General features: G+C 46.7%; 2 protein-coding genes across 7 annotated transcripts in view, besides 7 other annotated features; one reads left to right on the top strand and one right to left on the bottom strand.

Annotated features, from left to right (window-relative positions):
• The window catches only part of CNTN2 (contactin 2), a 35,341-nt gene extending 30,691 nt beyond the window's left edge, over positions 1-4,650 (top strand). For all 6 annotated transcript variants that reach the window (NR_144350.2, XM_047429104.1, NM_001346083.2 and 3 more), the window contains one exon: positions 17-4,650. Coding sequence is in view for 5 of the 6 variants with exons in the window: in XM_047429104.1 (XP_047285060.1) it covers positions 17-239 (223 nt within the window). In the remaining variant the exon portion in view is untranslated. The remainder of the gene's footprint in view (positions 1-16) is intronic.
• Positions 1,515-1,659: an enhancer, noted in NCBI's record as "145 bp 1:205044354 sequence used in MPRA reporter constructs". NCBI's record gives its function as "activates a minimal TATA-containing promoter with rs10900443 allelic activity by MPRAs in C283T melanocytes {active_cell/tissue: C283T}" and the evidence as "EXISTENCE:reporter gene assay evidence [ECO:0000049][PMID:36423637]".
• Positions 1,515-1,721: a biological region, named in NCBI's record as "melanoma risk locus-associated MPRA allelic enhancers 1:205044354 and 1:205044416".
• Positions 1,577-1,721: an enhancer, noted in NCBI's record as "145 bp 1:205044416 sequence used in MPRA reporter constructs". NCBI's record gives its function as "activates a minimal TATA-containing promoter with rs10900444 allelic activity by MPRAs in C283T melanocytes {active_cell/tissue: C283T}" and the evidence as "EXISTENCE:reporter gene assay evidence [ECO:0000049][PMID:36423637]".
• Position 1,587: a transcriptional cis regulatory region, noted in NCBI's record as "rs10900443 or 1:205044354 MPRA-significant variant associated with a GWAS melanoma risk locus at 1q32.1". NCBI's record gives its function as "allelic transcriptional activity by MPRAs in C283T melanocytes {active_cell/tissue: C283T}" and the evidence as "EXISTENCE:reporter gene assay evidence [ECO:0000049][PMID:36423637]".
• Position 1,649: a transcriptional cis regulatory region, noted in NCBI's record as "rs10900444 or 1:205044416 MPRA-significant variant associated with a GWAS melanoma risk locus at 1q32.1". NCBI's record gives its function as "allelic transcriptional activity by MPRAs in C283T melanocytes {active_cell/tissue: C283T}" and the evidence as "EXISTENCE:reporter gene assay evidence [ECO:0000049][PMID:36423637]".
• Positions 2,027-2,171: an enhancer, noted in NCBI's record as "145 bp 1:205044866 sequence used in MPRA reporter constructs". NCBI's record gives its function as "activates a minimal TATA-containing promoter with rs7518906 allelic activity by MPRAs in C283T melanocytes {active_cell/tissue: C283T}" and the evidence as "EXISTENCE:reporter gene assay evidence [ECO:0000049][PMID:36423637]".
• Position 2,099: a transcriptional cis regulatory region, noted in NCBI's record as "rs7518906 or 1:205044866 MPRA-significant variant associated with a GWAS melanoma risk locus at 1q32.1". NCBI's record gives its function as "allelic transcriptional activity by MPRAs in C283T melanocytes {active_cell/tissue: C283T}" and the evidence as "EXISTENCE:reporter gene assay evidence [ECO:0000049][PMID:36423637]".
• On the bottom strand, positions 9,490-10,821 carry TMEM81 (transmembrane protein 81). Its single transcript, NM_203376.2, has one exon. It carries the CDS (start codon positions 10,679-10,681, stop codon positions 9,914-9,916), a length of 768 nt encoding a protein of 255 aa, NP_976310.1. The 5' UTR covers positions 10,682-10,821; the 3' UTR covers positions 9,490-9,913.
• Positions 10,822-12,409: the final 1,588 nt, after the last annotated feature.

A 12,409-nucleotide genomic window follows, 5' to 3' on the forward strand; every position in this document is an offset into this window, starting at 1 on the left:
CTTGTGCTGGTTTCAGGCACAAGCATGATGGTGGAGAACATGGCAGTCCGCCCAGCACCACACCCTGGCACCGTCATTTCCCACTCCGTGGCGATGCTGATCCTCATAGGCTCCCTGGAGCTCTGATCCTGGAACCCCTCCCTCTGCGCCGCAGCTGGACGCCACCTCCGACGGACACAGCCAGCCCCTTCCTGCTGCCAAGGTGGCCTGACACTGTGCCAGAGAGTGGCTGGTTTTAAATACCTACTTTAAACAGTGCCCTTTTTGTAGGAGGTAGGATATTTTATATTCTGCCGCAGGATAGAACCCACGCAAGGATTTTCTTTAAATTGAGAGGCACCAGGCAGTAACTTCCATGATGACACTGACGCCTATACCTGAGCTCTAGGCTGCCTGGAGGGAAGGAACAGGCCCATGGGAAGAAGGGGGTTTTAAAAACATGTCTTCAACTCAGCAGAGATGGCCCTCTGGGACCCTATACGGACTCCGCCACTTGAGAGCAGTCCTAGGCCCGGCAGGAACACCAGACATGAACAGGTTGAAGAACTGGAGCGAAGTGCACACCTCACCATCCTTCAGTCTAAGGAAGAAGGGCAAGCCCTGGGACCAAGAGCTCTCCCGCCTTCTCCCTCGAGCAGCAGCAAGGACCCTGACGCTGTCCCCGATAACTCCCTAGGGGCTCCTGCCTGCCCAAGCGGCTGAGAACCAGCGCCCCGATGCCTGAGGCTGGGAGCCTGAGCCCCTTCAGCTTTGAGGGGGGTGATACTCCAGGCTGTTTGGGGTGGGAGCCAAAAAGAGTTGAGAGGCCAGGGCCCTTGGTGGAAAGGGGCACCAGCCTTGGTCTGAGATAGTCACAACCCAGGTGACGATGCCCTCTCAGCCAACACTGCCAACCTGACCCTGTCATCCCGATTGACAGCGCCACTTCAGGTGGCTGGGTGACTAAAGGGCTTGTCTTGGTGGGGTCTCCCACCCCTCCAAGACCCATTCTGCACAGTCCCTCCAGGGTTTGGGCAGGAGATGGCCAATCATGCGCCCACCTCTCCAGTGCTGCCTGCAGTCAGCTCGGCCTCCCCGACCTGCAGCCCCAGACTCTGCTCTCCCAGCACTGACTCACTCCTGCCTGGGAGGGGAATGCAGCATTCATGCTGTGTGTCCTGGTATTGGGAGGTTTCTGGGAAGGGCAGAGGATAAATGTGGCCCTGCCTGCTCCCAGGTATACCTAGGACCACCTGGCCAGATCCGCTCCCAGACGGCCTTGGACTGCTTGCATTTCCCCGGAGAAAAAGGGGTTAATAAATGGGCCATCCTTTCCTGAGCTCTGGGTATACTACCAGTCACAGAACGTCAGAGCTGGAAGAAGCCTTAGAGCTCAACTTCTTCAAGCCCCTCACTTTACAGATGAGGAAATGGAGGTGGTCCAGAGAGGGTCTGGGATTCCCAAGGTCACACAGCCCAGAAGAGATGGGGCTGGGTTAAGAACTCGAGTCTTCCACCTTTCTGTTCAAGGCTGTTTGTCTACCCAGAGGAAGGAGGCACTGCTGAATGGCTATGGCCTGGCTAAGAAGGTGATTAGTCAGTAGGGTGTGAAAATTCTACTTCAAGGGGTTCGGATTGGTGATCATGGGGATTGGCATGGCTGGGTTCCCGTCCAAGGTGTGGGCAGAGCTTCTACCAAACTTCAACATGGAGGGCTGACTTGAAGCTCCCTGTCCCCCTCACTCTTGCCCCAAGAAAAGAGGCCAAAGCAAGAGCAGATTCCCTAGGCAAGAGCAGCAGCACAACTAGGAAACCCCAAAGCCCATGCTCCGACAGGTGGCCCTTCACAGGGGGCAGCGGGACAGGCATCTTGAAGGGCATATGTCCTCGGAAGCTCCGAGCCTGTTTTCTGTAGTTTATAGTTAGAGCTCTATTTTGTTATGGTTTTTTAAACTTTTAAGTCCTGCTCTATTTTCCTGGGCAGGTTTATGTTGATGTTTACCCACTACAATTTTTTAAAAATATAAGCTCACATGCCTTTTCCCTGCCACAGCCAAACCCCCACTGCACCCTACCCACCCACCCCTAGCCCAGGTCAGCTTTCCTGGAGCTGGCTAATGAAAGCCTCCTCACCTCTTCCCAACCCTTACAAGCAAGGGTGCTAGGGGCTCAGCTATACGACCATTCTCCCTGACAGGGAGTCCAAACTTGGCCTAGCATCCCTCCTGGCCCCCCTCTGGCCACGACTTGGCCTGTGCCTGGTTCTCTATCAGAAAGGGGATGCTGAACAAAACCTCCTTCCAAGTTTTATCCAATTCGTTCCTCATTGCCTCGGGCTGCGTCAGGGGAAGCAGGGGACAGGTGTCCAGTTGCTGGGCCGAGGGAGGAGCTGGTTTGGCATAGGACCTAACCAGTGAAGCTAGAGGCTACAGCCACTAAACTTGCTTCAGGCCAACGATAGTTACTCACAAGTAAGTACCTTAATGCTAATGAGGTCCACTAAAAAGGGGAGGAAGGCAGACCTCCTGGGAGACCCACGAAGGGTTTTTAGCCAGGGAAAACTGAGCCCCAGGAAAACCTAACCACTGGGCAGGCAGAATTTGTTTGAGGGATAGAACGACAACAAAATAAATGTTCCTGCAGCCTGAGATTTCAGGTAGAGTACTGACTAAGGTTTAATAAGACAATAGGTGACCTGAGGACATGCAAGCTTGTAAAATGCAACAGCCTCCTGCTAGAGTGACTTGTACATGAGCTTGCTTGCAGAAGACTAGATTAGATGTTTCTCAGGATCCCCTCCTGCGCAGGGGTTCTCTGATTTTCGTGTTCTCTGCCCAGATGGGCTGGGGGAGTTGAGAGTGTGCTTATTTTCACTGCGATCATGAGACCACAGTTCTGGGTTATCTCCTCTCATACATCAAGCCCCAGAGGAGGCGGCAAGAGGAACAGCCACAAACAAGTACTTTACCCCACAGCTTAGTGGCCAGTAAACACCCTGGGGACTAGGAAAAGGAACCAACTGTAGGCACCTCTCCAGGGCCTAGGGAGACAAGTGTCCTCTCTTCTGCATACATTTGGGCTCCCCTTACAGAGCCCTTTGCCCTGGCTCTCTGGTCCTTGTTGCTCTAACAGTCCAGATGTACACCCAGCCTCAGGGGGAAGGCAGCTCTCTCCAGACAGAGTCTCAGGGCCCAGCAAGGTCAGGTTATCTGCTTTCATTCAGGGCAACAAATGATACAAATGGTGCCAGGGAGTGGCAAGGCCATGGGGGTAGGTGGGGGTGTCTTTTTCTTTTCATAAAGTAACAACAGACGAGACTGAGGTTAAACATCAGAAAAAAACCTCTGGAATGACCTTCCTCATTCCAGGAGGCCCTGGAATAAGGAAGAGGCTTCTTTCTGAGGGAGCTTTGAGGAATTTTGACAGCTGTTGACATGGGATTTGGGAAAGGTGAAGCTGTGACTGGAGGGGCAGGAGATGGTCCAAGTGTCCATCCAGAGATGAGACTCTTAGAATCAAAGTGTTCAGCCCAGGAAGTCTTGGAGATCCCACCTTCTGTGGCCCTGCACCTTATGGGAAGCCATTAAGGGGGCTCATCTAGGAATTCTGGTTACAGCCCAGTGCTCATCCCAGCGTATGCTGCCTCTTTAGGGCAGCCCCAAGGGCCAGCCAGCCTGTACTCTGGGCAAGAGCCCAAAATGGCTAGGAATGTTTGACTCCCTTAATCTCTTCCCCAGCTACAGAGGAATCTTTTCTCTGCCTGGTCTCAGAATGGGACTGCCAACTGGCTCATTGGTGGGAGACACAGTATCCTCAAACCTGTGGCCACTGGCATGACAGTGGTGCTCTGTCTCCCTGGGTGACACCCACCCTAGGCTTCCTCCTGGATGTGATGGGGATTGCCAGAGAGGCTCTTAGCATAAAAGGCATTAGGTGGGCATTTTTCTGTGTGCCCCCAAAAAGCTCCATGGAAACAGGCACCTGGTAGCTGCGGAACACCCGTGGACTTGTGTATATGGTCATAGGCTTTGGGAAGACAGGACGTAAAGGAAAATGAGAGAAACAAAATGGGTCAGATAGCTTTGGCCACAGCCCCAGGCAGCCTTTGGGGCCTATGACACTTAGTGCCCTTAGATGGGATACATCTTGCCTCGGCCCCAAGACTCCTCCAACTTACCCGTCCCATCCAGGGCCTGCACAGCTTAGAGAGGCTCACAGCTTGGCAAATGCTAGGGCTTCATCAGACCACTGACTTGACTCAGTGTTTGTTAAAATGGAACCACTCCCGTTGGCCTACTGTTTCTCTCCTGTACTTCTTGTAATGATAGTTATTTATTGACTCTGGTAGCAGGCAGTTCTTAAATAAAGATGGTTTCTCAACCTGTTGGGGAAGCTGGCACGAGCTGTGGGTGTTATCATCAGGCTAAAGCATACCTCCTTGTCCTGTTCTTCACTCCAGAGGCTTTTATCCAAGAATTTCTTTACCCCCCACACAGTGAAATATAAGTAAGTTACAACATACAGTCTATATTGCTTCATCCAGTCCCAGGAGGAGGGAAAAATTAGGCCAAGATCTTAAGGCAGGTCCAAGCAGAGCACAGGCAGGCATTTGGCTAGAATCAGTTGGCTTTACCTAATACAGTGGCAGTAAACAATGCTTATGTGATGGTACTGCTTCAAGGTGGCCTGATTTTTAAGACATCTTTGAGGTGTTGACTCAGTGGTCCCAAAGGAAAGTCTCCCTGCAGATATATTAATGATACCCAACTGGTGAGAACGAGGCTGCTGCCTCTACTCTTGGTTCACAGCAGCCACAAGGGTGTGAATTACTAGTCACTTTCCAGCCACACTTTCTCACACATTCGATAACCATTTATCAAACTTTTTTTTTTTTGAGACAGAGTTTCGCTCTTGTCGCCCAGGCTGGAGTGCAATGGCATAATCTCAGCTCGCTGCAACCTCTACCTCCTGGGTTCAAGCGATTCTCCTGCTTCAGCCTCCTGAGTAGCTGGGATTATAGGCACCTGCCACCACAACTGGCTAATTTTTGTATTTTCTAGTAGAGACAGGGTTTCACCATGTTGGCCAAGCTGGTCTCCAACTCCTGACCTCAGGTGATCCACCCACTTCGGCCTCCCAAAGTGCTGGGATTATGGGCATGAGCCACGTGCCCGGCCTATCAAACTTTTATTACAGATGAAAATGTGTGTGGAGATACACTTGCACGACTCTGTGTTTTGAGTCTTTTAGTGCAAAGCAGGTAGGGCTCCATGCTGACTACGCCCCCAGCTTTTTTCAGCGAAGAGGGAGATGGTGAATGGAGGCCTGAATACTCATTAGCTGTGTGCCTGGAAGCCCAGGCTGACAACAAGCCTCCGGAAGGGGCCTGTACGGACACCAGTATGATATCACAAAACGGTCATCTCTTCCACTTTGCCCCCAAAGGGGATGTGGGAACACCAGCCACTCTAAAACCCAAATATTAGTCCAGTCAGCATCCCCTTGACCCTGCAAAGGTAGATTACCTGCACAGACTTCAACAGGTTTTGCTTTACTAACACAACTGAGCATCTTTTGTTCTCTTCTCTGCTCAATCCCTTCACATCCTTGGAGTCAAAACTCAAGAGCCCAATGCATAGAGGGTTATAATGCCAGAACTGTGCAATAGTCCATCCCATGCTTGACTACTGGCTGCAACAGAAGACTGCAAAAGTTACTCAGTCTCTCCATCTGGAAAATGGGACATAGTACCCATCAGTCTTCCTCCCTCCTCAGCAATGTCATGTTGAGTTCATTAAAGTAGGATATTTTATGGTCTTCTAGTGTCAAGACTGCTTGCTTAAAGTACAGCAAGCTATCTCCTGAATGTCTCAGCAAGTTGTCCCGTACTGAATGCTTCATCAATAATATTCCTGAACTCATGTCCCGTACTTCAGTTTACCTCACAGGATCTCACTGGATCCTCACAATCACCTATTTCAAAGATGATGTCAGGTAGCTTGCCCCATTACACCATCAACAGCAGAACAAGGCCCAGAACCCAGGTCTTCTGAAATCTATCCCCTCTGAAGTAAACAGAATGGGGGTAAGGGTACGTGTAAAATGTAAGATCTTTTTTAAAATAAGAGCAACAGTAAAATGACTCCCTATGCCTGGGCCTCAGTCAGTGGTTCTCAACCTTAGCCATATATCAGAACCACCTAACAACCTTAAACAACAAAGATGCTCTGAACTCATGATATACATCTAGGACACTGAGACAGCCTAGGAGCAATGACTCCCCAGTAGCAATGAGCACACCCAACATGCAAACCTTGGTTTCTCAATGCTACTCCCCACACTAAGAGGAACCAGGGTTCCTTGGGGAAAGACCAGATTCAGGTTTGGGGCAAGGAGAGTCCAAATGTGAATCTGAGATACCGTGTTGTACTAGAAGCAAGAAAATGCTCAATGTCAAATAAAACCACAGCAAAAGGGCAAAAGAGCTTGCCTGAGGGGACTCCTACTGGCCAAAATTGGGGACAATTTGAACATCAAGATAATGATCATTTGTACACCAAACCCCCATGACATGCAATTTACCTATGCAACAATCCTGCACATGTACCCCTAAACCTAAAAAGTTAAAAAAAAGATAAAATGATAATGGATTATATATAGCTCACTGAATAAGAAGAATCTATTGAGACCTCAAAAATAAAGAGGGTAAAAAGAGTAAGCTCTTCTTTACAGAGAAATGCAGGCTAATATAGGTAAGATGAACATAAAGAATTGCCAGTTTGCAGTCCCCAACATGTAATGTTCAACAAGGCAAAAACAATGGATGCCAAAATATGTGAAGAGTTTTTGGAGAGCCATATAATCATAAAGTATTACCCCACAGACTATGAATTACAAAGGGGAAAATACACACACACACACACACACACACACACACACACACATTGGTGGTGAGATCTGGCCATCCACCACCTTAACCAAATGATCAAGCTTATTATCAATAGTGGGTCAACCTTGGCTGGGCGCGGTGGCTCACGCTTGTAATCCCAACATTTTGACAGGCCGAGGTGGGCGGATCACCTGAGGTCAAGAGTTTGAGACCAGCCTGGCCAACATGGTGAAACCCCATCTATAGGCGTGGTGGCACATGCCTATAGTCCCAGCTACTCAGGAGGCTGAGGCATCAGAATCACTTGAACCCGGGAGGCAGAGGTTACAGTGAGCCGAGATTGCACCACTGCACTCTAGTCTGGATGATACAGTAAGACTCCATCTCAAAAAACAAAAACATAAACAAAAACATGAGCCTTGTAATGTGGTGCAGTTAAGTACATATCTACATAGGGCTCTTGTCAAAAATGTTTAAGATTCATTCCTCATGAATCTACTCATGAGGAAATGGCAAATACAAATTATGGAATCTTATCTAAGACAACTGGAGTAAATTATTCAACGAAATCAATGTCATGAAAGACAAAGGAATGCAGGAGGTCTGTTGTAAAAGAAGATACTTAAGAGAAACATAACACATGAACTTCTATTTGATCCTGGATCAAAAATGAAATTAAAAAGCTGTTAAGATTTTGGATATTGAGAAGTGAATACAGGCTGAGTATCCCTTATCCAAAATGTTTGGGACCAGACATGTTCCAGATTTCAGACTTTTTCAGATTTTGGCATCTTTGCATTATACTTATAGGTTAAGCATCCCAAATCCAAGAAATCCGAAATCTAAGCTCTTCCAATAAGCATTTCCTTTGAGCACCATGTTGGTACTCAAAAAGTTTCAAGTTTTGGAGCATTACAGATTTCAGGTTTTCATACTTGGGATGCTCAACTTGTATAAACTATATAAGATTAAGAAATTGTTAAATTTTGGCCAGGTCCAGTGGTTCACACCTGTAATCCCAGCACTTTGGGAGGCCGAGGCAGGTGGATCATCTGAGGTCAGGAGTTTGACCAGGCTGGCCAACATGGCGAAACCCCGTCTCTACTAAAAATACAAAAAAATTAGCCAGGCATGGTGGCAGGCACCTGTAATCCCAGCTACTCAGGAGGCTGAGGCAGGAAAATCACTTGAACCTAGGAGGCAGAGGTTACAGTGAGCTGAGATCACACCATTGCACTCCAGCCTGGGCTACAAGAACAAAACTCCGTCTCAAAAAAAAAAAAGAAAAGAAAGAAATTGTTAATTTTTTGTTGTTGTTTTTGAGACAGAGTCTTGCACTGTCGCCCAGGCTGGAGTGCAGTGGCGCAATCTCAGCTCACTGCAAGCTCCGCCTCCTGGGTTCACACTATTCTCCTGCCTCAGCCTCCCGAGTAGCTGGGACTACAGGCGCCCGCTACCACACCAGGCTGATTTTTGGTACTTTCAGTAGAGACGGGGTTTCACCGTGTTAGCCGGGATGGTCTCGATCTCCTGACTTCGTGATCTGCCCGCCTCGTCCTCCCAAAGTGCTGGGATTACAGGCGTGAGCCACCGCGCCTGGCCAGAAATTGTTAATTTTCTTAGTGTGATAAAGATATTGTGGTTACAGAGAACATCCTTATTAGGAGATGCATACATGGTTTAAGAGTTAAGAGTTGCAATGTCTGTGACTAGCTTTCAAATGGTTTAACAAAATCAATCTATATTGAGAAAGATAATTGTGACAAAATGTTAATTCCTGGTGAATTTTGGTAAAGGTTCTATGCATGGTCACCAAACATTTCTTTCAGCTTTTCTATGGGTTTGAAATTTTTACAAGTTAAAAGTAAAATAAATAATAGAGATCCTTTGACCATAATTTAAACTGAATTAGCATTGTCAGGATTAGAGCTCAAGAACCTTTATTTTTCACAAGGTCATCCAGATGATTCTAACACACATCTAGAGAATCGCTGGTCTTTGGTTTCTGCTACCTCCTGTAGTCAGAGAAAAGTGAGAGGAAGAAATGTTGTAATTCTCTCAGTAGAATTAGCTCAGCTGGTGGCCAAGAGTCTTTCCCTGATGGTTCCACAAGCCAATTATCTCAGACACGGTCCGAATGGCCTCGGAGTCTTAAGACTGGATTTCCTATGGAGGAATCAAAGTACTAATCCTCCTTTGGGGGCCTTGGCTGCTGTAAGAAACCAATACTTGACCCTCCCAGGAATAGAAGCTTCAGGGCACTGAAAGAGCTAAAAGGACTGGAGTGGAGGCAAGCCAAGGTGCTGTCTGAATGGTAAGAGGAAACCTACCAGGTGAAGGATCTAGTGTTTTGCCAAGAAATTCAATTTAATACCAAACAGGGGATTTACCTGGGCAGAACAGGCAATTTGTTAATATTTAGTGACTGTTACACACCTGAGTTGGATGTCATTACTAACAACCCCTGCCATAGGCTTATGCACTGCACCCCCTGCCCCCAAAAGCAGACAATTGGTTTAATGTCTATTCTAAGAAACCTGAGGAAAATGAAGCCAGACTGATTATGGGACAATTTAAATAAATACAAGAAACTGAAGAGCAGAAAAAGGTCTCCATACAGCTACTGTGAATTACTTTTATTGAAAAAAAATGTTCACTAAAAAGGCTGAATACATCCCTCTACATGAATACACAGCTCAGAAGAGGGGAAATGGAGGTGGGGAGGCATCCAAGTCATAAAGGGTAGAAAATGAATGCAAGCTTCTTAGAACTCTTCCCAGGAACACAGGCAATGCTTGCAGTTTCCTGGGTACCCAATGGGCAGGGAAGATCAGGAAGAGATCCATGGGACATAAGGAAGTTAGGTTACTGCGCATAGCTCCCAGGAGATTGTCCCCTCCATTTCTCCCACTCATTCTTTTGGCTGTGGGAGTGTTCCCTCTAAGCTGATCCACTACCAGCAGCTGGAACACTCCCCTAAAAAGCTAGCTTGGCTTCCTGGGCAGCCAGTTCTTCAGGAGCAAGGCTGTTAAGTTCTTGAAGCTGTCACTGCTGCAGGCCCCCCCTTAGCGCACAGAGGACAATCCTCACCAACACGCCACCAACCACTCCAATGGCAATTCCTATTCCCAAGGCTGACGCCACCTTCTTTTTCCACTTTGGGTGGTGAGGCTTGGAGTAGCTGTCCAGATTAACTTCCAATCCCTCATCTATTAACTTCTGATCCTCAGTAAGTGACTGATGGAAATTCAGATTCACCAAGTTAGGAGGAAGGACCCTCAACCCAAAATAGAGCCTCTTGACGAGTCTCAAGTTTTTTACCAGCTGCACATCACAGCGATATGTCCCAGAGTCATACTCCTGAGCATATTTAAACTTCACAAAGTGGGAGTTGGCTTGAAAGGGTTTGAAGACCTCATCGTCAGTGGAGATGACACCTCGAGCAAGTCTCCAGGTGAACCGGAAAGCTTCCTGTCCAAACTCCAAGATGTCTGAACTCAGACAGCTAAGCTCAAATTCCTTGCCAATGAGAATGGTGAAATGGAGCATCCCACAGATCCAGTTGGTCAGACATTCTAAGCGCCGAGTCTGACATTTCCTTCTCACTCCATCAGGGCCCACCTCACAGACGGTCTCCTCCTTATAGCCAAGGCCACAGGTGACAGTACAGGTTGTGGCATTGATGATAACTTTCCCCACAGCTTCTTGCAGCTTCTCAGGGATGGCCAGTGTTTTAGGTGTAGTCACCACCAAAGGCAGGTAGAAGGCCAACCCCAGGCTCCCAAGGACAAAACTAGTGGCTAAAACCTTCATGTCTCGGTAGGCGTTTTGCCACCCTCAGCCAGCACCCACAAGGTATTCCAGCTGAATCCTCTATAAATCATAACTTGATTCCTTTGACATGAGATATCCTTCAAAGTCAAAAGATATGATGCATGTATTGTCAATAAAACAACACAACTTAATAAATAAAAGTCCAGTCCTTATAAACAGGTGAGGCCACAAGGCAGGAAAAAAATCACAATGGTGTTGCTTTACTAACTATCGTTGTTAATAAAATAACCACCTTACCTACTAGTCTTCACGCTTTTTTTTTTTTTTTTTTTTTTTGAGGCAGGGCCTCACTGTCAACCCAGGCTGGAGTGCAGTAACATGATCACAGCTCACTGCAGCCTCAACCTCCTAGGCTCAAGTGATCCTGCCACCTCAGCCTCCTAGGTAGCTGGGACTACAGGTGCAGGCTATCACACCTGGCTAATTTTTCTATTTTTTGTAGATACGGGGTTTCACCATGTTGTCGAGGCTTGTCTCCAACTCCTGGGTTCAAGCAATTCACCCACCTCAGCCCCCCAAAGTGCTGGGATTACAGGCATGAGCCACCGCGCTGGCCGTTTTCGTGTTCTCTTAATGACTTTAAATCCACCTCTTGGGAAGACAAAGAAGAAAAGACTTCAGAAACTGAAGTAAATTTCCAGATTACCTCAAATGCATAGTGAAGTTACACTCTTCCTCACCCTTCCCCTTCCCCTCTATAAACTAGGATCTAAATTAAGGGTTTCAAAAGCCCCAGTTAAATGTCACCAAATAAAACAAATACTAAAGTCTAAAAAAAGGAAGATTAACTTGAATTATTTTAATGTTCCTAAACTTCCTATAAAAAGGATTAAGAACTCTGGACTAGGAGGCAAGTAACTTACCCTTCCTGAATTTCTGTTTCCTCCTTTGTAACTTAAGACCTCCTTGCCTATCTGAGGAAGGTCACTTAGAGCACTGAATGATATACTGTATGTGAGAACACTTTGTAAAGTGTGAAACACTGTTCAATGTGTAAGGAATTTTAAATAGAAATGGAAATTCATAAAGACAAGGGCCAAGATGACCTTTTCAAATCAGAATGTTTAAGGTTGTGTTAAAGGCAGCTCCTCTCCCCCTTTTAGGCACTCTTCCTTCCCAAGGATACTGAAGATATATTTTGAGTGAGAGGATGCATGATGCTCCCTGACTCTTGGCCTACTCCCTTTATCCTACAGAATAGAGCTCATTATTCACGTAGGTCAAGGTTGCTATGAAACAGCTATGATGTCAAAGATGGAGTTCTCAATCACATAAGATTAATAAGTAGACCCTCAAATTTGACATTAAAATCAAAGACTTACATAGACTTTGTGAAACATCTTATCTTTAGGAGACAACGAGCATTTAATAAATTTTAAAGCTGCTTCATTCAAAAAAAAAAAAAGGCTAATAAGAATTCAACCGTACTTACTTAGACTTGAAGAAAGGTCCTTGGAAGACAGGAACTTCCTAGCATGCATTTTTGTAACCTCCAGAATGCCTAGCCCTACGGCCTCTTCAGAGTAATTGCAAAACTATATTGAGTTAAATAATTGGAAGACAGATCATTCCTAGATGATCTTTTTGATCAACAACTTTTCCACTTGCATCATTTATTTACAATCTCATCTAGAGGCAGAAATCTAGACTACCTGTCCACTCCCTACCCCTTCCAGATCTATCTTTCCACACTGAAAGATCTAGTAT

The sequence above is a fragment of the Homo sapiens genome, chromosome 1, assembly GCF_000001405.40.
Source record: "Homo sapiens chromosome 1, GRCh38.p14 Primary Assembly".
NCBI lineage: Eukaryota > Metazoa > Chordata > Mammalia > Primates > Hominidae > Homo > Homo sapiens.